At 41.8% G+C, this 26,060-nt stretch overlaps 2 long non-coding RNA genes across 2 annotated transcripts in view, besides 1 other annotated feature; one reads left to right on the forward strand and one right to left on the reverse strand.

Moving 5' to 3' along the window:
- The window catches only part of SMARCAD1-DT (SMARCAD1 divergent transcript), an 89,737-nt gene that overhangs the window by 16,538 nt on the left and 47,139 nt on the right, over positions 1-26,060 (reverse strand). Inside the window, exon 6 of the long non-coding RNA NR_125922.1 lies at positions 1,667-1,802. This is a non-coding gene — a long non-coding RNA (SMARCAD1 divergent transcript). The remainder of the gene's footprint in view (positions 1-1,666; positions 1,803-26,060) is intronic.
- Positions 13,681-13,975: an enhancer, noted in NCBI's record as "tiled region #519; HepG2 Activating DNase unmatched - State 4:PromP, and K562 Activating DNase unmatched - State 8:EnhW". NCBI's record gives its function as "activates a minimal TATA promoter and a strong SV40 promoter by Sharpr-MPRA in HepG2 and K562 cells {active_cell/tissue: HepG2 | K562}" and the evidence as "EXISTENCE:reporter gene assay evidence [ECO:0000049][PMID:27701403]".
- On the forward strand, positions 13,965-14,991 carry LOC124900734 (uncharacterized). Its single transcript, XR_007058192.1, has 2 exons — positions 13,965-14,063; positions 14,764-14,991. It is a non-coding gene; the product is annotated as an uncharacterized LOC124900734 (long non-coding RNA).

Consider the following 26,060-nt stretch of genomic DNA (forward strand, 5'->3'; position numbering starts at 1 on the left):
TTTATACAAATGTATCATCCTTTGAATGTGAATTAATTATATCAAACATTAAATAATAAGAATTTCAACGTATTTTCAAAGTAAAAGTATCAAATCTGCATATTAACACCATTGACACAATTTAGCACCAATCTTTGTTGTATTTGCTATCATTATTTTCCCTTCAATTAAAACGTTTTCCTATTTTATGATTAATTGATTTAGATTTATCTACTATAAGAACATTAATTTTAGTTATATGATCTTATATAGAGCTCAAGTTACATGAATGTCTTATACCAGAAAGGATAAAAATTGATCTTTTACAAATTGTATCTTTTGCAATTGGTGTGTTTCTAATTTCTTTATACATAGGCTTATTTGTTTTTAATAAACCTCAAAAATATCAATATAAACGTTAGAGCCAACACCAAAACTATGACAACAGAGTATGTTTTTCAAAGAATGAATGACTTTTGAGTAATAGAATAGAAGCAACAGAATAGAATCAACAATTTTGAGGTACCTAGAACTGCATTAGATATTTTAATGTATCATCTTATTTCCATGATTCTCAAAGTGTGGCTACTAGTGCACTTACATAATCAGCAGGGTACTTGTTAGAAATGAAAATTCTCAGACTTACTCAATCTGAAATGCTGGAGGTGAAGCCCAGCAATCACTGTTTTAACAAGCCTTCTAACAATCCAATTTAATCTTCACAATTCGAAATTAATAATTTCTGCACTTTACAAACAAAAGTTAACCAACATTCCAATGGTACAAAATGACAGAGAGAGAGAGAGATCCAACTGTATGCTGCCTATAAGAGACACATTTTAGATTTAAAGACACAAACAGGTTAAAAGGATGGACCTGGCACAGTGGCTCATGCCTGTAATTCCAGCACTTTGGGTGGTCTAGGCGGGTGGATCACCTGAGGCCAAGAATTTGAGACCAGTCTGGCCAACCTGGTGAAACCCTATCTCTATTAAAAATACCAAAAAAAAAAAAATTAGTTGGGTGTGGTGGCGCATACTGGTAATCCCAGCTACTCGGGAGGCTGAGGCAGGAGAACTGATTTAACCCAGGAGGTGGAGGTTGCAGTGAGTGGAGATTGTGCCGCTGCACTCCAGCCTGGACAACAGAGTCAAACTCCATCTCAAAAAAAAAAAAAAAGTAAAAGGATGAAAAAAATGCTATACATGCTATACAATTAATAGCCACAAGAGAAGTGGAGTGGGTATGCTAATACCACACAGAACAGAATTTAAGACAAAAGGTATTACTAAAGACAAAGAGTAGCATTTTATAATGATAAAAGCATAAATACATCAGAAAGATATAACAATTATAAACATACACATCTAACAACTGAGCCCCAAAGTATATGAATTTAAAGAATTAAAGGGAGAAAGAGACACTTCAAAAGTAATAATGGAGGACTCAAAATCCCATTCAAAAATGGATAGAGCAACTAGATAGAAAAATCAACACGGATATAGAAGATCAGGATAATACTGCCAACAATCTTGACCTGACATTTACAGCAAACTCCAGCCAACAACAACAGAATGATGCTCAAGTGCACATGGAACATTTCCCAGGACAGACCATATGTTAGTTCACAAAGCAAGTCTCAGTTAATTTAAAAGAATTGATATCAGCCAGGCACAGTGGCACACACCTGTAGTCCCAGCTACTCAAGAGACTGATGTGGGAGGATCATTTGAGACCAGAAGTTCCAGGCTGTAGTGCACTATGATGATCGTACGTATGAACAGCCATTGCACTCCAGCCTGGGCAATTCAGCAAGACATCATCTGTAAAAATAAAAATAAGAATAGAAAAAATTGATATCATACAAAATATATTATCTGATCATAAGGGAATTAAATAAGTCATAAACAGGAGAAAATATGGGAAATCTGCAGATATTTAGAAATTTTAAAATGTACATCTGAATAACCTATGAATCAAATAAGAAATCACAAGAGAAATTAGAAAATATTTTGAGCTGAATAAAAATGAAAACCTGGGCAGGCATGGTGGCTCTTGCCTGTAATCCCAGCAATTTGAGAGGCTGAGGTGGGAGGATCACTAGAGCCCAGGAGTTTGAAACCAGCCCTGGCAACATAGTGAGACTCCAACTCCACAAAAAATTAAAAAATTAGCCAGGCATGGTGGCTCATACCTGTAGTCCCAGCAACTCAGGAGGCTGAGGTGGGAAGATTGTTTGAGCCTGGGAAGGTGAGGCTGCAGTGAGCCATGATCACAGGACTGCACTCTAGCCTGAGCAACAGAGCGAGAAGAAAGAAAGAAAGAAATCAAAAGAAAAAAAAGGAAAGAAAGAGAGAAAGGAAAGAGAGAAAGAGAGAAAGAAAGAAAGAAAAGAAGAAAGGAAGGAGGGAGGAAGGGAAGGGGGGGAGGGAGGAGGGAGGGAGGAAGGGAGGAAGGAAAGGGAAAGAAGGAAACAAAGGAAGGAAGGAAGGAAAGCAAGCATTATATATCACAATTTATGAGATCATAATTTAATTTATCACAGCTTAAATCAGGAATAACTAAAATATGTAGAAAAGCTAAATAAACCTAACAAGTGAGGAAATTGAACTAGTAATTAAAAATCTTTACACAATGAAAAGCCCAGGTCCAAGAGGCCTCACTGATAAATTCTACCAAACGTTTAAAATACGACATTAATTCTTAACAAAATTCTTCTAGAAAATAAAAAAGGAGGTCAAACAGTTCAATCTGTGAGGTACTATCTTCATATTCGAAGAGAAGAAAAAGTGACCGAGAAAAAGGAAGATACAAATGACCAAATCAGAAAGGAAAGAGGAGACATCACTAATGATGATAGAGAAATACTGTGAATGATTTTATGGCAATAAATTAACTTAGACCAGGTGCAGTGGCTAACACCTGTAATCCCAGCACTTTGGGAATTCAAGGTGGGCAGGTCATTTGAGGCCAGGAGTTCAAGACCAGGCTGGGCAACATGGTGAAACCCTGTCTCCACTAAAAATACAAAAATTAGCTGGGTGTGGTGGTGCATGCCTGTAATCCCAGCTACTCGGGAGGCTGAGGCATGAGAATTGCTTGAGCCTGGGAGGTGGAGGTTGCAGTGAGCTGAGATTCCACCACTGTACTCCAGACTAGGAGACAGAGTAACACGCTGTCTCAAAATAAAAATAAGAAAAAGAAAAAGAAAAAGGAAAGAAAAGAAAAGAAATAGAGGAAAAAAAATTTTTGAAAAAAGAAAAATATCACTAAAATTGACTCAATAGAAAATATGAATATACCCACAGTAAAAAAGAAATTGAATTTGTAGTTTAAAACCTTCCCACAAAAATAAAGCTCAAGCATAGATAACCTCACCGGTGAATTCTACCAGACATTTAAAGAAGAAAGCATATCAATCCCTCATAAACTCTCTCAAGATAGAGGAGAAGCTTTCCAACATATTGTATGAAGTCAATAATACTCTGATAGCAAAGCCAGACAAAAATATCACAAGAACACTACAGACCAATATTCTTCATGACTATACATACAAAATCTTCAACAAAATATTAGTAAATCAAATCCAAGAACATATAAAAAAAGAGAATGTACCATGACCAATTGGTATTTAAACCCAAATGCAAGATTGGTTTAACATCCAAATATTAATTCGTATGACACCTTACTAATTAGAATTAAAAATGCACTCACACAATCCTCTTAATAAATGCATGAACATCACTTGGCAAAATCCAAGATCCATCCGTGATTTTAGAAGAAAACTATCAACAAATAAGAAATAAAAAGAAACTTCCTTGCTCGATAGAAGAAATCCACAAAAAACCTAAAGCTTTCCCCCTACTGTACTATAGGGAATAAGGCAAAGATGTCTGCTCTCATCACTCCTATTTATCATTGTACTGGAAATTCTAGCCAGGGTAATCTGGCAAGAAAAAAATAAATAAATGAATGAATGAATAAATAAAATACATAAAGATTGGGTTAAATCTTTATTTAACAAAACCAGTAAGTTCAGCAAAGTTGCAGGACAAAATTTCAATATACAAAAATTAATTGTACTTCTAAATATTAGTTATAAACCCAAAAATAAATTTTTTAAAAAAATTCCATTCACAGTGACATAAAAAAAAATACTTAAGAATACATTTGGCCAGGCATGGTGGCTCATGCCTGTAATCCCAGCACTTTGGGAGGCCAAAGCGGGAGGCCAGGAGTTCGAGGCCAGCCTGACCAACATGGTGAAACCCTGTCCCTACTAAAAATACAAAAATTAGCCGGGCGTGGTGGTGCCCACCTGGAATCCCAGCAACTCAGGAGGCTGAGGCAGGAGAATTGCTTGAACCCAAGAGGCAGAGGTTGCAGTGAGCTGAGATTGTGGCAGTGAGCTGAGATTGTGCTACTGCACTACAGCCTGGGTGACAGAGTGAGGCTCTGTCTCAAAAACAAACAAAAAAAGAATACATTTAACAAAAGATATGCAAGACTTGTACACACAAAATGTTAAAACATTGCTGAGAAAAATTAAATATCTACATAAATGGAGAGATATGCCATGTTTGTCAATTGGAAGACAAGATTATCAACATGGCTATTCTCCTCAAATTGATCCAAATATTCAACACAATCCCTATCAAAATTCCAGCAAGCTATTTTACAGATGCTGACAAGCTGATCCCAAAATGTATGCAAAAATGCAAAGGATTCAGTATAGCAAAATAATCTTGAAAACAAAGCAAAGCTCATACTACCCCATTCCAAAACTCTCTATAAAGCTACTGTAATCCAGGCAGTGTAGTTGGCATGCAGAGAGACATTTAGGTCAATTAAACTAAGTTAAGAGTCCAACCATAAATATTTTTGGTCTATTGGTTAAAACTAAGACAAAGGTGCCAAGACAATTCAACAGGGAAAGGATAATCTTTTTAACAATTGAAATGTACATACAAAACAGTGAATTTAGACTGTTAACTCACACAATAACACAAAAATTAACTCAAAACTTATCTTAGCTCTCAACACAAGACTAATTAAACATAAACTAAAAATTCTTGGAATAAAATATTTTAAGAAAATTTGCATGGCTTTGGGCTGTTCAAACTTTTTAAGCTACATCAAGAGCATGATCTGTAAGAAAAAAAAAACTGGAGACAGGTTCAAGATGACTGACTAGAAATATTATTTGCCAGTTCTCCTCCGAAATAAGAACCAAAATTACAAACAGATTATCGTAACTCGAATAGAATATCAAGGAGAGAGTACTAGAACCCAATGGAGAGCTCATGGGGAAAAATAAACTGAGGCACAAAAAAAGAAGGAAGGAAGGGGCCAAGTCGGGCCATCAGACGTTGTCTGGAATCCCTGAGGGACCTGGCATTGGGTGGAAAGGGTAAGTGGGAGGGTTTGGGCTCCCCTCACCTCCATGGCAGACTGCTGGTATGTAAACAGTAGGAGAGCTCTCTGCACTCATGATCCCAGACATTAGTCAGGGCGGTGATTTGGGGACTTCTTGAGGGCATTACACTAGACAGTGATCTTTTGCAGGGGCACTTGCCTTTTCCCCAGACTCGAGTGTCTGCAGCGAGGCACCATTGTAGGGGCGCAGCTGTTGGGGGACTGAATTCTGCCCAAAGAACCTCAGCCCTTGTGTTTCCATGTCCTGGAAGCTCCCATAGACGTTCGCTAGCACTCGCTAGGAGGGTGGTAATGGCACAGTAGTGTCTGGACCCAAGGGAGCTTCAGGGTTCCCAGTCATCTAACCCTCCGTGGAGCGCTGCTCCTAATGGAAGGGAAAGTACACCACACCAACGGGACAGCTCTTGGGACAAAGGAAACCAAAGTGTATGTTTCCCAGTACCCAAAAGCTCCCTGCTTGGGGCTGTGATTGGCAGCCCTCCTTCCAACAGACACACTCTATGCTGGGCTCTGCAAGTGAGGAATGAAATCCCATTTCACCAGCTGAGCAGCCTCAGTACTTGAGCCTGACATAGAGAAGGAGATTTCTCCTCTCTCTCTGCTCACAACTGCTGACGCGACTGTCGCTGCCAACAAGAAGTTAGCACAAGCAAGCAGAGGGGGCAGCCTGCCTGGGCCTGTGAGGGGAGACTGCATCCCCATGGGCAATGTGACCTCTGGGCCCAGATTAGCAAGAAAGGCAGAACCCCTTCCTCTCTCTGCACAGAACTGTGAAGGAGAACAGGAGGGCCAAGGAGCTGTGTGTTTGGGACTGTGGGGGAAGACTGCACTGCAGCCATTTCCAGACAGCACAGAGGCTTAGTGTTGAGCCACAAGGTAGGCATCTCCTACAGTTCTGGGCTACATTGCAGCTTAGTAATAAACAGCTGTGTCTGACCAAACTGAATATCCAGAGCATCTGGATGGAAACATGACAGGGAAATAAATCACATTAATGTATGCTGAGGCCATGGTACTGGGACACCCCCTATCTGCCCTGCAGAGAGCTCAGTGTGTTTCACCAGGGGTCCAATGACTCCTCTGCCACCTTTGTCAGGGCTGGTGCTTGCACCCACCATTGGAGGACCAGAGGGCAGGCCTGCCTGGTCCAGCTCTACCCAGCTTTACCGTCACCTCCCTGAGGATGAGCATGGAGCCCAGGCCACTGTGCTTTCACAGACCAGTCCCTTGCCAGAAGCATCAGAGAGCTTCTCCCAGTAAACAAAGATCTCCTCGTTAACAAAGCATAATTCCTACTGCTACTGCTGCAGCTAGCTGTTACCTACAAGTATCAGTAACTGACCTGGAGGTTGAACTACACAATCCAATACAAAATATGCTGACACAAGTACACAGTGCTTGTGAATGAGATAAGCTTCTCAAGACCTCTGCAACTCCAGTTCTTCAGGAGGTCATAAGCCTGCTCACATGCCCAGTACACAACTACTACAACCAACATTTGATAACCTCACCACACTGAGGCTATCTATAAAGAAGGAATTTATACAGCATTTTTGCCACTGAAAGCACCCAGAAGCAAAGCCGAACAACCCTGTTCAATGTACATTGCAGTCACATACTCAAGGGGAATAAAAACAAGTCATGTCTAAACGACAGTAAATTCAAAAATAACAAGAAATGAATTTCTTCAGATGAGAAGGAGCCAGCATAACAATTCTGGAAGTATGAAAAAACAGGATGTTACAGCACCCACTAAGTATCACAGTAACTCTCCAACAGTATATTCTAACCAAAATGAAAATTTTTTGTTTTGTTTTATACTTTTTCATTTTTTATTTTTCCAAATGAAATTTTGGATATACAAAATAAAGACTTCAAAATATTTATTTTAAAGATGCTCAGTGAGATCCAAGAGAAATCTGAAAACCAATACAAAAAAAAATCAGAAAATCAATTCAGGATATGAATGAGAAATTTACCGAAGTGATAGATTAAAAAAAAAAGAACTTCTGGAAATGAAAAATTCATAGAAGGAATAACAAAATATAGTTTAAACCTTCAACAATAGGCCAGGTGCAGTGGCTCACGCCAGTAATCCCAACTCTTTGGGAGGCTGAGGCCAGGTGTTCAAGACCAGCCTGGCCAACACGGCGAAACCCCATCTCTACTAAAAATACAAAAATAAGCACGGTGGCACATGCCTGTAGTCCCAGCTACTTGGGAGGTTGAGGCAGGAGAACCACTTGAAAGGAGAAAGGAGTTGCAGCAAGCCAAGATCGTGTCACTGCACTCCAGCGTGGGTGACAGAGCAAGACTCCATCTCAAAACAAAACACAAAAACCTTCAACAGTAGACTAGACCAAGCAGAAGAAAGAATTTCAGAACTTGAAAACAGATCTTTCAAATTAATTCAGTCAGACAAAAATAAAGCAAAAGAGGATTTTTAAAAATGAAGGCTTCCAGGAACAATGAGACTATGTAAAACATCTGAACCTACAAATCATAGGTATTCCTGAGAGAGAAGAAAAAGGCAAAAGTTTGGAAAATCTATTTGAGGATATAATTGTGGAAAACTTCCCTAGTCCAGCAAGAGATCTAGACATGGAGCTGTAAAAGCCTCAGAAAACTCCAGGAAAATACATTGCAAGAAGGACTTCACCATGACATTTAGTCATCAGACTGTCTAAGTTCAACGTGAAGGAAAAATTTTTCATATCAGCAAAAGAAAAGCATGTAATCACCTATAAAGGAAACCCTATCAGACTAATAGCAGATTTCCCAGCAGAAACCCTACAAGCCAGAAAAGATTGAGATTCTATTTTCAAAATACTTAAAGAAAAAAACTGTCAAGCAGAAATTTTATATCCTGCTAGAATAAGCTTCATTAAGAGACGGAGAAATAGTCTTTTCCAAACAAGCAAATACTGAGGGAATTTGTCACCACTACACCAGTCCTACAAGAAAGGTTCAAAATGTTCTAAACATGGAAACAAAAGGTCAATAATCACCATCATAAAAACACATGAAAGTATAAAACTCATATGTCTTATAGAGCAATTACACAAATGAAGAAAAGAAAGAAATCAAATGGCAACATGACAGAACACCAGACCACAAAGACAAAACAAACAGAGGAAAAGTAAATAAAGAATCTGCAAAGCAACTAGATAACAATTAACATTATGACAGGGACAAAACTTCACATACCAATATTAACCTTGCATTTAAATGGATTAACCGCTCTATTTAAAACATTCAGTTTGGCAGAATGGATATAAAAACATGAATCAACTATAGATGGCTTGTAAGAAACTCACCTTACTCATAAAGACACTTAATAGACTGAAGGTAATGGGATGGGAAAAGATATTCCACACAAATGGAAACCAAAAGTAAGCAGGAGTAGCTATACTTATATTAGATAAAACAGATTTTAAATCAGAAACAGTAAAAAAAAAAAAAAGATAAAGAAGGTCATTATATAATGATAAAGGGATCAATTCAACAAGAAGACATAACAATCCTAAGTATATATTTAGCCAACACTGGAGCACCCAGATTCATAAAACAAATATTACTGGACTATTGTACTTTAGACCAAATGGACACAACAGACATTTACAGAGCATTCTATCTAACAACTGCAGAACATAAATTCTTCTCATCAGTACACTAAACATTCTCCAAGAAGACTATATATGTTAGGCCACAAAAAAGCTTCAATAAATTTTTAAAAATCAAAATCACATCAAGTATCTTCTCAGATAATAGTGAAAAAAAACTAGAAACCAATTGCAAGAGGAACTCTCACAACTATATATACACATGGCAACTAGATTACCTGCTCCTGTACAATCTTTGGGTCAATGACAAAATTAAGACAAATTTAAAAAATTTTTGAAACAAATGAAAATGGAGACACAATATGCCAGAAAAATCTGGGGTACAGCCAAAGCAGTGCTAAAAGGAAAGTTTATAGATAGCCTTCAATGCCTGCATTAGAAAATAGATCACAAATTAACAACCTAGTGACACACTTCAAGCAACTAGAAAAACAAGAACAAACCAAACCCAAAGCTAGCAGAAGAAAAGACATAACAAAGATCAGAGCAAAACTAAACAAAATGGAGACAAAAAAAAAAAAAAAAATACAAAAGAACAGTAAAATGAAAAAATGGTTCTTTGAAAATATAAAACAAATTGATAGATTGTTAGCTAGACTAACCAAGAAAAGAGAAGGTTCAAATAAATACAATCAGAAATGAAAAAGGAGATATTACAACTGACACAGAAATTTAAAAGATCATCAGAGACTGCTATGAACAACTCTGTGCTCACAAACTAGAAAACCTAGAGGAAATGGATAAATGCCTGGAAACATACAACCTCCCAAGGTTGAACTAGGAAGAAATAGAAAGCCTGAACAGACCAATAATGTGTAGGGAGATTGACTCAGTACTAAAAATTCTACCCGCACCCCCGCCCCAAAAAAAAAGAAAAAACAGGAGCAGATAGATTCACAGCCAAATTCCACCAAACATACAAGTCCTGAGACTTTGCTGAAATTGCTTATCAGCTTAAGGAGTTTTTGGGCTGAGACAATGGGGTTTTCTAAATATACAATCACGTCATCTGCAAACAGGGACAATTTGACTTCCTCTTTTCCTAATTGAATACCCTTTATTTCTTTCTCTTGCCTGATTGCCCTGGTCAGAACTTCCAACACTATGTTGAATAGGAGTGGTGACGGAGGGCATCCTTCTCTTGTGCGGGTTTTCAAAGGGAATGCTTCCAGTTTTTGCCCATTCAGTATGATATTGGCTGTGGGTTTGTCATAAACAGCTCTTAATATTTTGAGATGCGTTCCATGAATACCTAGTTTATTAAGAGTTTTCAGCATGAAGTGCTGTTGACTTTCGTCGAAGGCCTTTTCTGCATCTATTGAGATAATCATGTGGTTTTTGTCGTTGGTTCTGTTTATGTGATGGATTACATTCATTGATTTGCAAATGTTGAACCAGCCTTGCATCCCAGGGATGAAGCCAACTTGATCGTGGTGGATAATCTTTTTGATGTACTGCTGTATTCAGTTTGCCAGTATTTTATTGAGGATTTTCGCATCGATATTCATCAGGGATATTGGTCTAAAATTCTCTTTTTTTTGTTGTGTCTCTGCCAGGCTTTGGTATCAGGATGATGCTGGCCTCATAAAATCAGTTAGTGAGGAGTCCCTCTTTTTCTATTGATTGGAATAATTTCAGAAGCAATAGTACCCAGCTCCTCTTTGTACCTCTGGTAGAATTCAGCTGTGAATTCGTCTGATACTGGAATTTTTTTGGTTGGTGGGCTATTAACTATTGCCTCAATTTCAGGGCCTGTTATTGGTGTATTCAGAGATTCAACTTGTTCCTGGTATAGTCTTGGGAGGGTGTATGTGTCCAGCAATTTATCCATTTCTTCTAGATTTTCTAGTTTATTTGTGGAGAGGTGTTTATAGTATCCACTGATGGTAGTTTGTATTTCTGTGGGATCTGTGGTTATATCCCCTTTATCATTTTTTATTGTGTCTATTTGATTCTTCTCTCTTTTCTTCATTATTAGTCTTGCTAGCAGTCTATCAATTTTGTTGATCTTTTCAAAACACCAGCTCCTGGATTCAGTGATTTTTTGAAGGGTTTTTTGTGTCTCTATCTCCTTCAGTTCTGCTCTGATCTTAGTTGTTTCTTGCCTTCTGCTGGCTTTTGAATGTGTTTGCTCTTGCATCTCTAGTTCTTTTAATTGTGATGTTAGGTTGTCAATTTTAGATCTTTCCTGCTTTCTCTTGTGGGCATTTAGTGCTATAAATTTCCCTCTACACACTGCTTTAAATGTGTCCCAGAGATTCTGGTACATTGTGTCTTTGTTCTCATTGGTTTCAAAGAACATCTTTATTTCTGCTCTCATTTCATTATTTACCCAGTAGTCATTCAGGAGCAGGTTGTTCAGTTTCCATGTAGTTGTGTGGTTTTGAGTGAGTTTCTTAATCCTGAGTTCTAATTTGATTGCACTGTGGTCTGAGAGACAGTTTGTTGTGATTTCTGTTCTTTTACATTTGCTGAAGAGTGCTTTACTTCTAACTATGTGGTCAATTTTGGAATAAGTATGATGTGGTGCTAAGAAGAATGTATATTCTGTTGATTTGGGGTGGAGAGTTCTGTAGATGTCTATTAGGTCCACTTGGTGCAGAGCTGAGTTCAATTCCTGAGTATCGTTGTTAACCTTCTGTGTCGTTGATCTTTCTAATATTGACAGTGGAGTGTTAAAGTCTCCCATTATTATTGTGTGGGAATCTAAGTCTCTTTGTAGGTCTCTAAGGACTTGTTTTATGAATTGGGTGCTCCTGTATTGGGTACATATATATTTAGGATAGTTAGCTCTTCTTGTTGAATTGATTCCTTTACCATTATATAATGGCCTTCTTTGTCTCTTTTGACTTTTTTTTGGTTTAAAGTCTGTTTTATCAGAGACTAGAATGGCAACCCCTGCTTTTTTTTTTTTTTTCTTTTTTGGCTTTTCATTTGCTTGGTAGATCTTCCCCCATCCCTTTATTTTGAGCCTATGTGTGTCTCTGCACATGAGATGGGTCACCTGAATACAGCACAGTGATGGGTCTTGACTCTTTATCCAATTTGCCAGTCTGTGTCTTTTAATTGGAGCATTTAGCCCATTTACATTTAAGGTTAATATTGTTATGTGTGAATTTGATCTTGTCATTATGATGTTAGCTGGTTATTTTGACAGTTAATTGATGCAGGTTTTTCCTAGCATCAGTGGTCTTTAACTTTGGCATGTTTTTGCTGTGGCTGGTACCAGTTGTTTCTTTCCATGTTTAGTGCTTCCTTCAGGAGCTCTTATAAGGCAGGCCTGATGGTGATAAAATCTCTCAGCATTTGCTTGTCTGTAAAGGATTTTATTTCTCCTTCACTTATGAAGCTTAGTTTGACTGGATATGAAATTCTGGGTTGAAAATTCTTTTCTTTAAGAATGTTGAATATTAGCCCCCACTCTCTTCTGGCTTGTAGGGTTTCTGCAGAGAGATGTGCTGTTAGTCTGATGGGCTTCCCCTTGTGGGTAACCTGACCTTTCTCTCTAGCTGCCCTTAACATTTTTTCCTTTATTTCAAACTTGGTGAATCTGACAGTTATGTGTCTTGGGGTTGTGTTACTCTTCTCAAGGAGGACCTTTGTGGTGTTCTCTGTATTTCCTGATTTTGAGTATTGGCCTGCCTTGCTAGGTTGGGGAAGTTCTCCTGGATAATATCCGGAAGAGTGTTTTCCAACTTGGTTCCATTCTCCCCATCACTTTCAGGTATACCAATCAAATGTAGATTTGGTCTTTTCACATAGTCCCATATTTCTTGGGGGCTTGGTTTGTTTTTTGTTGTTTTTTTTTTTTAATCTTTTTTCTCTAACCTTCTCTTCTTGCTTTATTTCATTAATTTGATCTTCAATCACTGAAACCCTTTCTTCTACTTGATCGAATCCGCTATTGAAGCTTGTGCATGCGTCACGAAGTTCTCATGCCATAGTTTTCAGCTCTATCAGGTCATTTAAGGTCTTCTCTACACTGTTTATTCTAGTTAGCCATTCATCTAACCTTTTTTCAAGGTTTTTAGCTTCCTTGCAATGGGTTCGAACATACATTTTTAGCTCGGAGAAGTTTGTTATTACTGACCTTCTGAAACCTACTTCTGTCAACTCATCAAAGTCATTCTCTGTCCAGCTTTGTTCAGTTGCTGGCAAGGAACTGCAATCCTTTGAAGAAGAGGCACTCTGGTTTTTAGAATTTTCAGCTTTTCTGCTCTGTTTTCTCCCCATCTTTGTGTTTTTATCTATCTTTGGTCTTTGATGTTGGTGACCTACAGATAGGGTTTTGGTGTAGATGTCCTTTTTGTTGATGTTGATGCTATTTCTTTCTGTTTGTTAGTTTTCCTTCTAACAGTCAGGTCCCTCAGCTGCAGGTCTGTTGGAGTTTGCTGGAGGTCCACTCCAGACCTTGTTTGCCTGGGTATCACCAGCAGAGGCTGCAGAATAGCAAATATTGCAGAACAGCAAATATTGCTGCCTGATTCTTCCTTTGGAAGCTTTGTCCCAGAGGGGCACCCGCCTATATGAGGTGTCTGTCGGCCCTTACTGGGAGGTATCTCCCAGTTAGCCTACATAGGGGTCAGGCACCCACTTGAGGAGGCAGTCTGTCCGTTCTCAGGGCTCAAACGTCATGCTGGGAGAACCACTGCTCTCTTCAGAGCTGTCAGACAGGGACGTTTAAGTCTGCAGAAGTTGTCTGCTGCCTTTTGTTCTGCTGTGCCCTGCCCCCAGAGGTGGAGTCTATAGAGGCAGTAGGCCTTGCTGAGCTGCAGTGGGCTCCGCCCAGTTCAAGCTTCCTGGCCACTTTGTTTACCTACTCAAGCCTCAGCAACAGTGGACGCCCCTCCCCCAGCCAGGCTGCCACCTAGCAGTTCGATCTCAGACTGCTGCGCTAGCAGTGAGCAAGGCTCTGTGGGCGTGGGACCCACTGAGCCTGGCACGGGAGAGGATTTCCTTGTCTGCTGGTTGCTAAGACCTTGGGAAAAGTGAAGTATTTGGGCAGAAGTGTCCCGTTTTTTCCAGGTACAGTCTGTCACGGCTTCCTTTGGCTAGGAAAGGGAAATCCCCTGACCCCTTGTACTTCCCAGGTGAGGTGATGCCCCACCCTGCTTCAGCTCACCCTCCATGGGCTGCACCCACTGTCCAACCAGGCCCAGTGAGATGAACCAGGTACCTCAGTTGGAAATGCAGAAATCACCTGTCTTCTGCATTGATCATGCTGGGAGCTGCAGACCGGAGCTGTTCCTATTAGGCTATCTTGGAATGGACTCCATGAATAATATATCGTGTAAAAGATTTCTAATCAATAATTTTTTAAAAAGCACTCTTGAAATCCAAAGGCAAAAAGACAAATTACTCAATCTAAAAATAGGCAAAATACTTAGACATTTCGCCAAAGAAAATATATAAGTAGCCAACATGATAGGAAATATTAGGTGTCAACTTGATTGGACCAAGGGCTGCCTAAATAGGTAGTAAAGTATTGTTTCTGGATGTATCTGTGAGGGTATTGCTAGAGGAGACTGACATTTGTGTCAGTGGGCTGGGAGAAGAAGACCCACCCTCAATGTGGGTGGGCACACTAGCCACTGCCAGAGTGGCAAGAATAGAGCAGGTGGATGATGGTGGGATAAGTTTGCTTGCTGAGTCTTCTGGTTCTCTTTCTTCTTCTTATGCCGAATTATTGCTTTTGTTCCTCCTGTCTTTGCACATTAAACTCCAGGTTCTTCAGCCTCCGTACTCTGGGACATGCACCAGCAGCTTTCCAGGGGTTATCAGGTCTTCAGGCACAGGCTGAAGCACTGTCGGTTTCTCTGGATTTGAGGCTTGTGAACTTGGATTGAGCCACTACCAGCTTCTCTCTTTCCTTGGCTTGCAGATGGCCTATCATGGGACTTCACCTTGTGATCATGTGAGCCAATTCTCGCTAATAAACTCTTTCTTATATATACATATATCCCATTTGTTCTGTCCCTCTGGAGAACTCTGACTAAAAGAGATGTTGGTACCAGGGGTGGTTCTAGAGGAACAGAATTTTAAGGATGAATTTCCTTAATTGGTTTTGTCATTTCTGGAGTTAGCTCTCTAATCTGATTAGACCTAAAAATGCTAAGGACTTTACTTTGTTTTTTCTTCTCATTTTACTTTAAGTTCTGGGATACATGTGCAGAACATGAAGGTTTGTTACATAAGTACGCATGTGCCATGGTGGTTTGCTATACCTATCAACCCATCATCTAGGTTTTAAGCCCCACATGCATTAGGTTTTTGTCCTAATGCTCTCCCTCCCCTTGCCCCCCATCCCCTGACAGGCCCCTGTGTGTGATGTTCCCCTCCCTGTGTCCACGTGTTCTCATTTTTCAACTCCCACTTAGGAGTAAGAACATGCAGTGCTTGGTTTTCTGATCCTGTGTTACTTTGCTGAGAATAATGGCTTCCAATTTCATCCACATTCATGCAAAGGGCATGAACACATTCTTTTTATGGCTGCATAGTATTCCATGGTGTATATGTGCCACGTTTTCTTTATCCAGTCTATCATTGGTGGGCATTTAGGTTGGTTTCAAGTCTTTGCTATTGTAAATAGTGCTGCAATAAACATACGTGTGCATGTGTCTTTATACTACAATGATTCATAATTCTTCGGGTATGCATCCAGTAATGGGATTGCCGGGTCAAATGGTATTTCTGGTTCTAGATCCTTGAGGAATTACCACACTCTATTCCACAATGGTTAACTAATTTACACTCCCACCAACAGCGTAAAAGCGTTCCTATTTCTCCACAGTCTTGCCGGCATTGGTTGTTTCCTGACTTTGTAATAATCACCATTCTAACTGGCATGACATGGTTTCTTATTGTGGTTTTGATTTGCATGTCTCTAATGACCACAGTTGATGAGCTTTTCTTCATATGTTTGTTGGTTGCATAAATGTCTTCTTTTGAGAAGTATCTATTCATATTCTTCTCTCGGTTTTTGATGGGGTTGTTTTTTTCTCATAAATTTGTTTAGGTTCCTTGTAGATTCTGGAAATTAGACCTTCATCAGATGGGTAGATTGCAAAAATGTTCTCTCATTCTGTAGGCTGCCTGTTCACTCTGATGATAGTTTCTTTTGCTGTGCAGAAGTTCTTTAGTTTAATGAGATCCCATTTGTCAATTTTAGCTTCTGTTGCAATTGTTTTTGGCGTTTTTGTCATGAAATCGTTACCCATGCCTATGTCCTGAATGGTATTGCACAGGTTTTCTTCTAGGTTTTTTTTGGTTTTGAGTTTTACTTCTAAGTCTTTAATCCACTTTGAGTTAATTTTCGTATAAGGTGTAATTTTGTATAAGGTGTAATTTTGTATAATTTTATATAAGGTATAAAATTTGTATAAGGTGTAAGGAAGGGGTCCATTTTCCGTTTTCTGCATATGGTTAACCAGTTTTACCAGCACCATTTATTAAATAGGGAATCCTTTCCCCAATGCTTGTTTTTGTCAGGTTTGTTGAAGATCAGATGGTTGTAGATGTGTAGTGTTATTTCTGAGGTCTCTGTTCTGTTCCATTGGTCTATATATCTGTTTTGGTACCATTACCATTCTGTTTTGGTTATGTACCCTTGTAATATAGTTTGAAGTCAGGTAGCATGATGCCTCCAGCTTTGTTCTTTTTGCTTAGGATTGTCTTGGCTATACCGGCTCTTTTTTCGTTCCATATGAAATTTAAAGTAATTTTTTCTAATTCTGCGAAGAAAGTCACTGGTAGCTTGATGGGAATTGCATTGAATCTATATATTACTTTGGGAATTCTGTCCATTTTCAAGATATTGATTCTTCCTATCCATGAGCATGAAATTTTTTATGAGGCCAGCATCATCCTGATACCAAAACATGGCAGAGACACAATAAAGAAAAGAAAATTTCAGGTCAATATCCCTGATGAACACAGATGCAAAAATCCTCAATAAAATATTGGCAAACCTAATCCAGCAGCACATCAAAAAGCTTATCCACCACGATCAAGTTGGCTTCATCCCTGGGATGCAAGGCTGGTTCAACATTCGCAAATCAATAAACATAATCCATCACATAAACAGAAACAATGACAAAAAACAAATGATTATCTCAATAGATGCAGAAAAGGCCTTCAATAAAATTCAACATCCCTTCATGTTAAAAACTCTCAATAAGCTAGGTATTGATGGAACATATCTCAAAATAATAAGAGTTGTTTATGACAAACCCATAGCCAATATCATACTGAATGGGCAAAAGCTGGAAGCATTCCCTTTGAAAACCGGCACAAGACAAAGATGCCCTCTCTCACCACTCCTATTCAACATAGTATTGGAGGTTCTGGCCAGGGCAATCAGGCAAGAGAAAGAAATGAAGGGTATTCAAATAGAAGAGAAGAAGTCAAATTGTCTCTCTTTGCAGATGACACAATTGTATATTTAGAAGACCCCATTGTCTCAGCCCAAAAACTCCTTAAGCTGATCAGCAACTTCAGCAAACTCTCAGGATACAAAATCAATGTGCAAAAATCACAAGCATTCCTATACACCAACAACAGATAAGCAGAGAGCCAAATCATGAGTGAATCCCCATTTGCAACTGCTACAACGAGAATAAAATACCTAGGAATCCAACTTGCAAGGGATGTGAAGGACCTCTTCAAGAAGAACTATAAACCACTGCTCAAGAAAATAAGAGAGGACACAAACAAATGGAAAAAAACGACTCTACTTCTAAGAGTGCATAGAGCACTGGTAGTCCTTGGCATGCATTGTTTAGAGAGTTATGCAAAATAAATGCATTTGATACTCCTGATTCACCACTACTGAGAGGCAAGGAGTTTAGTGACTCTATACATGATACCTTTGAATGTTTACAGAGAACCAAGGAACATAGTGAAGTTGGTTGGCTGCTCCTAAGTTTGCTGGACAAAGTGATGAAATAAAAAGATGAGCTCAGAGATTATATATCTCAGCTCCAGAAGTGCATACTTAACCTCAATCTTCTAAGATTGCCCTGGGTTTTTTTCAGGTTTGTTTGTCTTGTCTTCTGCAGACAAAGGGCTGAAATTGCTGAAAATAAGACCAAGCTCTTATCATGTGAGTGGCTGACATACAATGAAAGGCACACACTCAGCCTCACCAGGTGTCTACTGATAAAGTGAGACCATTGACTAGGAAATAATGGAACTCTACAACTTCAGATGGGGATGTGTGGAAGGACCCTGATGAAGCTGGGGACACTAAGTTCCTGAATTCCCATGAGTTTATTTTCCAGAGGAAATGGCCTTCACCTCCCTCACAACCCACTCCCCTGTGGGGGCAACATCCCCTCCCTCACCCAAGCTGCTATCAGCCTCTCCACCTTTGTCTGAGATTAACCCTGCACTGGCTGAGCAACAGTGATGGCCTCCCCTGAGGCAGCTGCCAGGCAAGACAATGCTGATTCTCCTCAGGACCCACCCCTACTACCTCTCTTTGCTTCTAGACCTGTAACTAGACTCAAGTCCCAGCAGACCCCTAAACGTGAGGTACAAAGTGTGACCCATGAGGGGGTGCACTATACTCCAAAAGAACTACTTGAGTTTTCTAATTTATATAAGCAGAAGCCTGGAGAATAGGTATGAGAATGGATATTAAGGGTGTGAAATAATGGTGGTAGGAACATAAAGTTGGATCAGGCTAAATTTTTTGATATGGACCCACTAGGCAGAGATTCTGCATTTAATGTTGCAGCTCAGGGAGTTGTGCTTTTTTTTTTTGTTTTTGAGATGGTGTCTCAGTCTGATGCCCAGGCTAAAGTGCAGTGGTGTGATCTCGGCTGATTGCAACCTCTGCCTCCCAGGATCAGGCAATTCTCCTGCTTTAGCCCCCTAAGTAGCTGGGGTTACAGGTGCCCGCCACAACACCAAGCTATTTTTTTTTTAATTTTTTAGTAGAGATGGGGTTTCACCATGTTGGCCAGGCTGGTCTCAAACTCCTGACCTCAAATGATCCACTCACCTCAGCCTCCAAAGTGCTGGGATTACAGGCTTGAGCCACTAAGCCCAGCCAGCTAAGGGAGTTTTAAAAGGTTCTAATAATTTATTTCTTAGTTAGTTGAAACATGGATCAAAAGATGGCCCACTGTGAGTGAGCTGTAAATGCCTGATCTCCCTTGGTTTAATGTAGAGGAAGAGATACAAAGGCTTTGGGAGACTGGAATGCTAGAGTGGATTTTTTCACGTTAGACCTACTCACCCCAAACGGGAGGGTTCAGAGGGCATACCCTTCACCAATACCCTGTGAAATAGATTTGTGAGGGGAGCACCAGCATCTTTAAAGAGTTCTGTGATTGCTCTTCTCTGTGTGCTAGATCTTACAGTAGAAACCACAGTCACTCAACTGGAAAACTTAAACACAATGGGAATAATCGGATTCCAAGTGGTAGGAGCCAAGTGGTAGCACTCAATTATCAAGGCAACGTGGGAGTAGTTACCATAATGCACAGCACAGGCAAAGCCACAATCAGAATATTCTGACCCATGTAGAGCTCTGGTATTGGCTAATTAATCACGGCATTCCTAGAAGTGAAATTGATAGGAAGCCTACTACGTTTTTACCTGATCTATAAAAAGAAAACTTCCAGGTCAAGTAGAGAAAAGTCTAATTTCAGTTATAAAAGCAGATAATCATAGCCTTCAATCAGTTTCCGCACTTGAGCCAGTTTACACACCCAGAACCCCTTGAATGACGAGGAGGCCAGGTCCCTTTGAGGAAGGACCCCACTATACTACTAAAAATTTATACTGTTAATCTTTCTTCCATCCTTTCCCAAAGAGACCTCTGGCCTTTCACCAGGGTAACTGTGCACTGGGAAAAGGGGAATAATCAGACCTTTGGGAATTACTAGACACTGGCTCTGAACTGACATTGATTCCAGGGGATCCTTGGCCTTCCAGTTTCAGTAGGGGCTTATGGAGGTCAGGTAATTAATGGCATTTTGGCTCAGATCTGACTTACAGTGGGTCCAGGACCTGTCCTGTGGTCATTTACCCAGTGCCAGAATTCATAAATAAATAGACATCCTTACCAGCTGGCAGAATTCCCACATTGGTTCCCTGACCTGTGGAGTGAGGGCTATTATGGTGAGAAAGGCCAAAGGGAAACCATTATAGCTGCCTCTACCTAGAAAAATAGTAAATAAAAAAACAATATTGCACCCCTGAAAGGATTGCAGAGACTAGTGCCACCATCAAGGACCTGAAAGGTGCAGGGGTGATGATCCCTACCACATCCCCAGTCAACTCTCCTATTTGGCCTGTTCAGAAGACAGATGGATCTTGGAAAATGGTAGTGGATTATTGTAAGCTTAACCAAGTGGTGACTACAATTGCAACTGCTGTACCAGATGTGGTTTCATTGCTTGAGCAAATTAACACATCTCCTGGTACCTGGTATGTAGCTATTGATTTGGCAAATGCCTTTTTCTCCATTCCTGGCCAGGGGCGGTGGCTCACGCCTGTAATCCCAGCACTTTGGGAGGCCGAGGCGGGCGGATCACGAGGTCAGGAGATCAAGACTATCCTGGCTAACACAGTGAAACCCCGTCTCTACTAAAAAAAATACACAAAAAATTAGCCAGGCATGGTGGTGGGTGCCTGTAGTCCCAGCTACTCAGGAGGCTGAGGCAGGAGAATGGCATGAACCTGGGAGGCAGAGCTTGCAGTGAGTCGAGAACACACCACTGCACTCCAGCCTGGGTGACAGAGCAAGACTCCATCTCAAAAAAAAAAAAAAAAAGTAGCAACTGGGGAGACATTTGCATGTCAGGGGATGAGAAATAAATCTAAAATTCAGGGGCCTTTTGCCTCTGTGAAATTTCCAGAGTTCCAGTGATGTGAGGCATGTTGAGATAGTCCTTCCAAGGTGAAGGATAAGTTGTTGTATCTGGCCCTTCCTACAACCAAGAAAGAGGCACAATGCCTAGTGGGCCTATTAGGATTTTGGAGGCAACACATTCCTCATTTGTGTGTGTTACTCCATTCCATTTATCAAGTGACCTGAAAGGCTGCTAGTTTTGAGTGGGGTCCAAAACAGGAGAAGCCTCTGCAACAGGTCCAGGCTACTGTGCAAGCTGCTCTGCCACTTGGGCCATATGACTCAGCAGATCCAATGGTGCTTGAGGTGTCAGTGGCAGATAAGGATGCTGTTTGCAGTGTTTGGCAGGCCTCCATAGGTAAATCACAGTGGAGGCCTCTAGGATGTTGGAGCAAGGCCCTGTCATCTTCTGCAGATAACTACTCTCCTTTTGAGAGACAGCTCTTGGCCTGTTACTGGGCTTTAGTGGAAACTGAACATTTGACTATGGGTCATCAAGTCACCATGCGACCTTAACTGTCTATCACAGCAGCATTCCGTCATCAAATGGAAGTGGTATACACGTGATTGGGCTCAAGCAGATCCTGAAGGCATAAGTAAGTTACATGAAGAAGTGGCTCAAATGCCCATGGTCCCCACTCCTGCCACCCTGCCTTCTCTCCGCCAGCCTGTGCTGATGGCCTTATGGGGAATTCCCTATGGCCAGTTGACAGAGGAAGAGAAAACTAGGGCCTGGTTTACAGATGGTTTGGCATGATATGCAGGCACCACCCGAAAGTGGACAGCTGCAGCACTACAGCCCCTTTCTGAGATGTCCCTAAAAGACAGTGATGAAGGGAACTCTTCCCAGTGGACAGAACTTTGAGCAGTACACCTGGCTGTGCACTTTTCTTGGAAGGAGAAATGGCCAGACATGCATTTATATGAATTCATGTGCTGTAGCCAATGGTTTGGCTGAATGATCAGGAACCTGGAAGGAACATGATTGGAAATTGATGACAAAGAAATTTGGGGAAGAGGTATGTAAATCAACCTCTCTGAATGGTCAAAAACTTTGAAGACATTTGTGTCCCATGTCAATGCTCACCCAAGGGTGACCTCAGCAAAGGAGGATTTTAACAATCAGGAGGATAGGATGACCTGCTCTGTGAACACCACTCAGCCTCTTTCCCCAGCCATCCCTATCATTGCCCAATGGGCTCATGAACAAAGTGGCCATGGAGGCATGGATGGAGGTTATGCATGAGTGAGAAACATGGACTTCCACTCACCAAGGCTGACCTGGCTATGGCCATCATTGAGTGCCCAATCTGCAAGCAGCAGGGACCAGCACTGAGCCGTTGATGCGGCACCATTCCTCGGAGTGATGAACCAGCTACCTGGTGGCAGTTTGATTACATTGGACCTCTTCCGTCATGGAAGGGGCAGCAGTTTGTCCTTACTGGAATAGACACATACTCCAGATATGGATTTGCCTTTCCTGCACCCAATGCTTCTGCCAAGACTAAAATTCATGGGCTCATTGAATGCCTTATCCACCTCCATGGTATTCCACACAGCATAGCCTCTGACCAAGGCACTTCACAGCCAAAGAAATATGGCAGTGGACTCATGCTCATGGAATTCACTGGTCTTACTATGTTCCCCATTATCCTGAAGCAGCTGGCTTGATATAGAACGGTGGAATGGCCTTTTGGCGTTTCAGTTACAATACCAACTTGGTGACAATACTTTGCAGGGCTGGGGCAAAGTTCTCCCAAAGGCTGTGTATATATGAAAGGGAGTTTATTACGGAGAATTGGTTCACACAATCACAAGGCAAAGTCCCACGACAGGCCACCTGCATGCTGGGGAAGAAAGAAGCCAGTAGTGGCTCAGTCTGAGTCCAAAAGCCTCAAAACCAGGGAAGCTGACAGTGCAGCCTTTCGTCTGTGGCTGAAGGCCCAAGACCCCCTGGCAAACCACTGGTGTAAGTCCAAGAGTTCAAAGGCCAAAGAACCTGGAGTCTGGCCCCTCCCCCTCCCCCTCTCCGCACGGTCTCCCTCTCCCTCTCTTTCCACGGTCTCCCTCTCATGCTGAGCCGAAGCTGGACTGTACTGCTGCCATCTCGGCTCACTGCAACCTCCCTGCCTGATTCTCCTGACTCAGCCTGCCGAGTGCCTGCAATTGCAGGCTCGTGCCGCCACACCTGACTGGTTTTGGTGGAGACGGGGTTTCGCTGTGTTGGCCAGGCCAGTCTCCAGCCCCTAACCGCAAGTGATCCGCCAGCCTCGGCCTCCCGAGGTGCCGGGATTGCATACGGAGTCTCGTTCACTCAGTGCTCAATGGTGCCCAGGCTGGAGTGCAGTGGCATGATCTCGGCTCGCTACAACCTCCACCTCCCAGCCGCCTGCCTTGGCCTCCCAAAGTGCTGAGATTGCAGCCTCTGCCCGGCTGCCACCCCGTCTGGGAAGTGAGGAGCGTCTCTGCCTGGCCGCCCATCGTCTGGGATGTGAGGAGCCCCTCTGCCTGGCTGCCCAGTCTGGAAAGTGAGGAGCGTCTCCACCCGGCCGCCATCCCACCTAGGAAGTGAGTAGCACCTCTTCCTGGCCGCCATCACATCTAGGAAGTGAGGAGCGTCTCTGCCCGGCCGCCCATCGTCTGAGATGTGGGGAGCGCCTCTGCCCCGCCGCCCCGTCTGGGATGTGAGGAGCACCTCTGCCCAGCCGCGACCCCGTCTGGGAAGTGAGGAGCATCTCTGCCCGGCTGCCCCGTCTGAGAAGTGAGGAGACCCTCTGCCCGGCAGCCGCCCCGTCTGAGAAGTGAGGAGCCCCTCCGCCCGGCAGCCGCCCCGTCTGAGAAGTGAGGAGCCTCTCCGCCCGGCAGCCGCCCCGTCTGAGAAGTGAGGAGCCTCTCCGCCTGGCAGCCGCCCCGTCTGGGAAGTGAGGAGCGTCTCCGCCCGGCAGCCACCCCGTCCGGGAGGGAGGTGGGGGGGTCAGCCCCCCGCCCAGCCAGCCGCCCCGCCCGGGAGGTGAGGGGCGCCTCTGCCCGGCCACCCCTACTGGGAAGTGAGGAGCCCCTCTGCCCGGCCACCACCCCGTCTGGGAGGTGTGCCCAACAGCTCATTGAGAACGGGCCAGGATGACAATGGCGGCTTTGTGGAATAGAAAGGCGGGAAATGTGGGGAAAAGATTGAGAAATCGGATGGTTGCCGTGTCTGTGTAGAAAGAAGTAGACATGGGAGACTTTTCATTTTGTTCTGTACTAAGAAAACTTCTTCTGCAAAAAAAAAAAAAAAAGAAAGAAAGAAAGAACCTGGAGTCTGATGTCCAAGGGAGGAGGAGCAGGAAGAAGCATCCAGCAGGTAAAGTTATCCCACCTTCTTCCTCCTGCTTTGTCTTTGCTGTGCTGGCAGCTGATTGCATGGTGTCCACCCACACTGAGGACAGGTCTTCCTCTCCCAGCCCACTGACTCAAATGTCAATCTCCTCTGGCAACATCCACACAGACACACCCAAGAACAATACTTTACCAGCCATCTGGGCACCCCTTCATCCAATCAAGTTGACAAATAATATTAACCATCACAGTACTGTTTCTTTCAGAGCCAGTATTCATGCGTCCAGGAATCAAGGGGTGGAAGTGGAAGTGGCACCACTCGCAATTACCCCTAGTGACCTGGCTAGCAAAATTTTTGCTTCCTGTTCCTGCCACATTATGTTCTGCTGGCCTAGAAGTCTTATTTCCAGAGGGAGGAATGCTGCCACCAGGGGACACAACAATGACTCTATGGAACTGGGAAGTTAAGATTGCCCCCTGGCCACGCTCCTCCTACCTCTAAGTATACAGGTTAAGCAGGGAGGTATAGTGTTAATTGAGGTGATTGACCCAGACTATCAAGATGAAATCAGTCTACTACTCCACAGTGCAGATAAGGAATACAGAGTATGTCTGGAATACAGGCGATTACTTAGGGCATCTCTTGCTATTACCCTGCCCTGTAACTAAGGTCAATAGAAAACTACAACAACTCCATCCAGGCAGGACTACAAACGGCCCAGACCCTTCAGGAATGAAAGTTTGGCTCACTCCATCAGGTAAAAAACCATGACCAGCAGAGACGCTTGCTGAAGGGAAAGGGAATACAGAATGGGTAGTAGAAGAAGGTAGTTATCAATCCCAACTATGGCCATGTAACCAGTTACAGACATGAGGACTGACTGTCGAGAGTATTTCCTCCTTATTTCATTAAAAATATGCTTGTGTATATATACCTGTACTAAGGAAATATCTAAGTACAGGTATATATACCTGTACTAAGAAAAAATCTTAATGATTTCACAGTAAGTGATGGACCTGGCATTTAAATTCAGGCCCACCTGCCTTCAAATATGTGTTCTCCTTTATGATGACTTAATTGCCTAAAAATAGACCTTTTGGATTTGGAGGTAGCTGAAAGGTAAAATATTTTAGCAAAAGGTACCCTCCAATACAATTAGTTTGTGAGGCTTTTTTCACATTTTCTTGCCCAAATATTTTTCTTTAAAATTGTGATTAGTCAATGATTACTTTCAGGTTATTATCCTTTATTTGCTAACTTTACTAACAGAAAGTCATTAAAAAATTTTTAAATTCAAAACAAAACACATTTTAAAGTGACAGGTTTTCTTTTATTCAACAAAAGTAACAGATTATATCAGCAGCCTAGTCATCCTGATTTCTACTCTCTACATTGTCTAGAACTTCTCGGAGCCAGAACATCACAGACTGAAAAGTGAGTCACCTTATCCACCACCTGCATATAACAGGATCACCTCAATACTAATTCCACTGAGATTTTTATCTAGCACATTTTTCTACACCTCTAATGATCCTGGCTTAATAACTAAACACAGTAATATATCAGAAAAACACAATTCCTTTACAAAAAAAAAAAGTTTCCTGTATTTCACAAAGCAGAGCAAAGCAAATTTCTAATCTCACAATTGTGACGCTCATGGCCTTTCCCTCCTTTAAAAGCTTCCAAAAGTTCCTTGCAGAAAAGTCTTTCCAATGCTTCCCTCCTACACACAACCTTTGCCTAGCTAAGTCCTAGTCATCACCCTTCTGGCCTTAGTTTAAATGTTACTTTATTTATATACCCAGGTTTTTTTTGGGGGGGGGGGTTTGTTTTGTTTTGTTTT

This window comes from Homo sapiens, chromosome 4 (assembly GCF_000001405.40).
Source record: "Homo sapiens chromosome 4, GRCh38.p14 Primary Assembly".
NCBI classification, from domain to species: domain Eukaryota; kingdom Metazoa; phylum Chordata; class Mammalia; order Primates; family Hominidae; genus Homo; species Homo sapiens.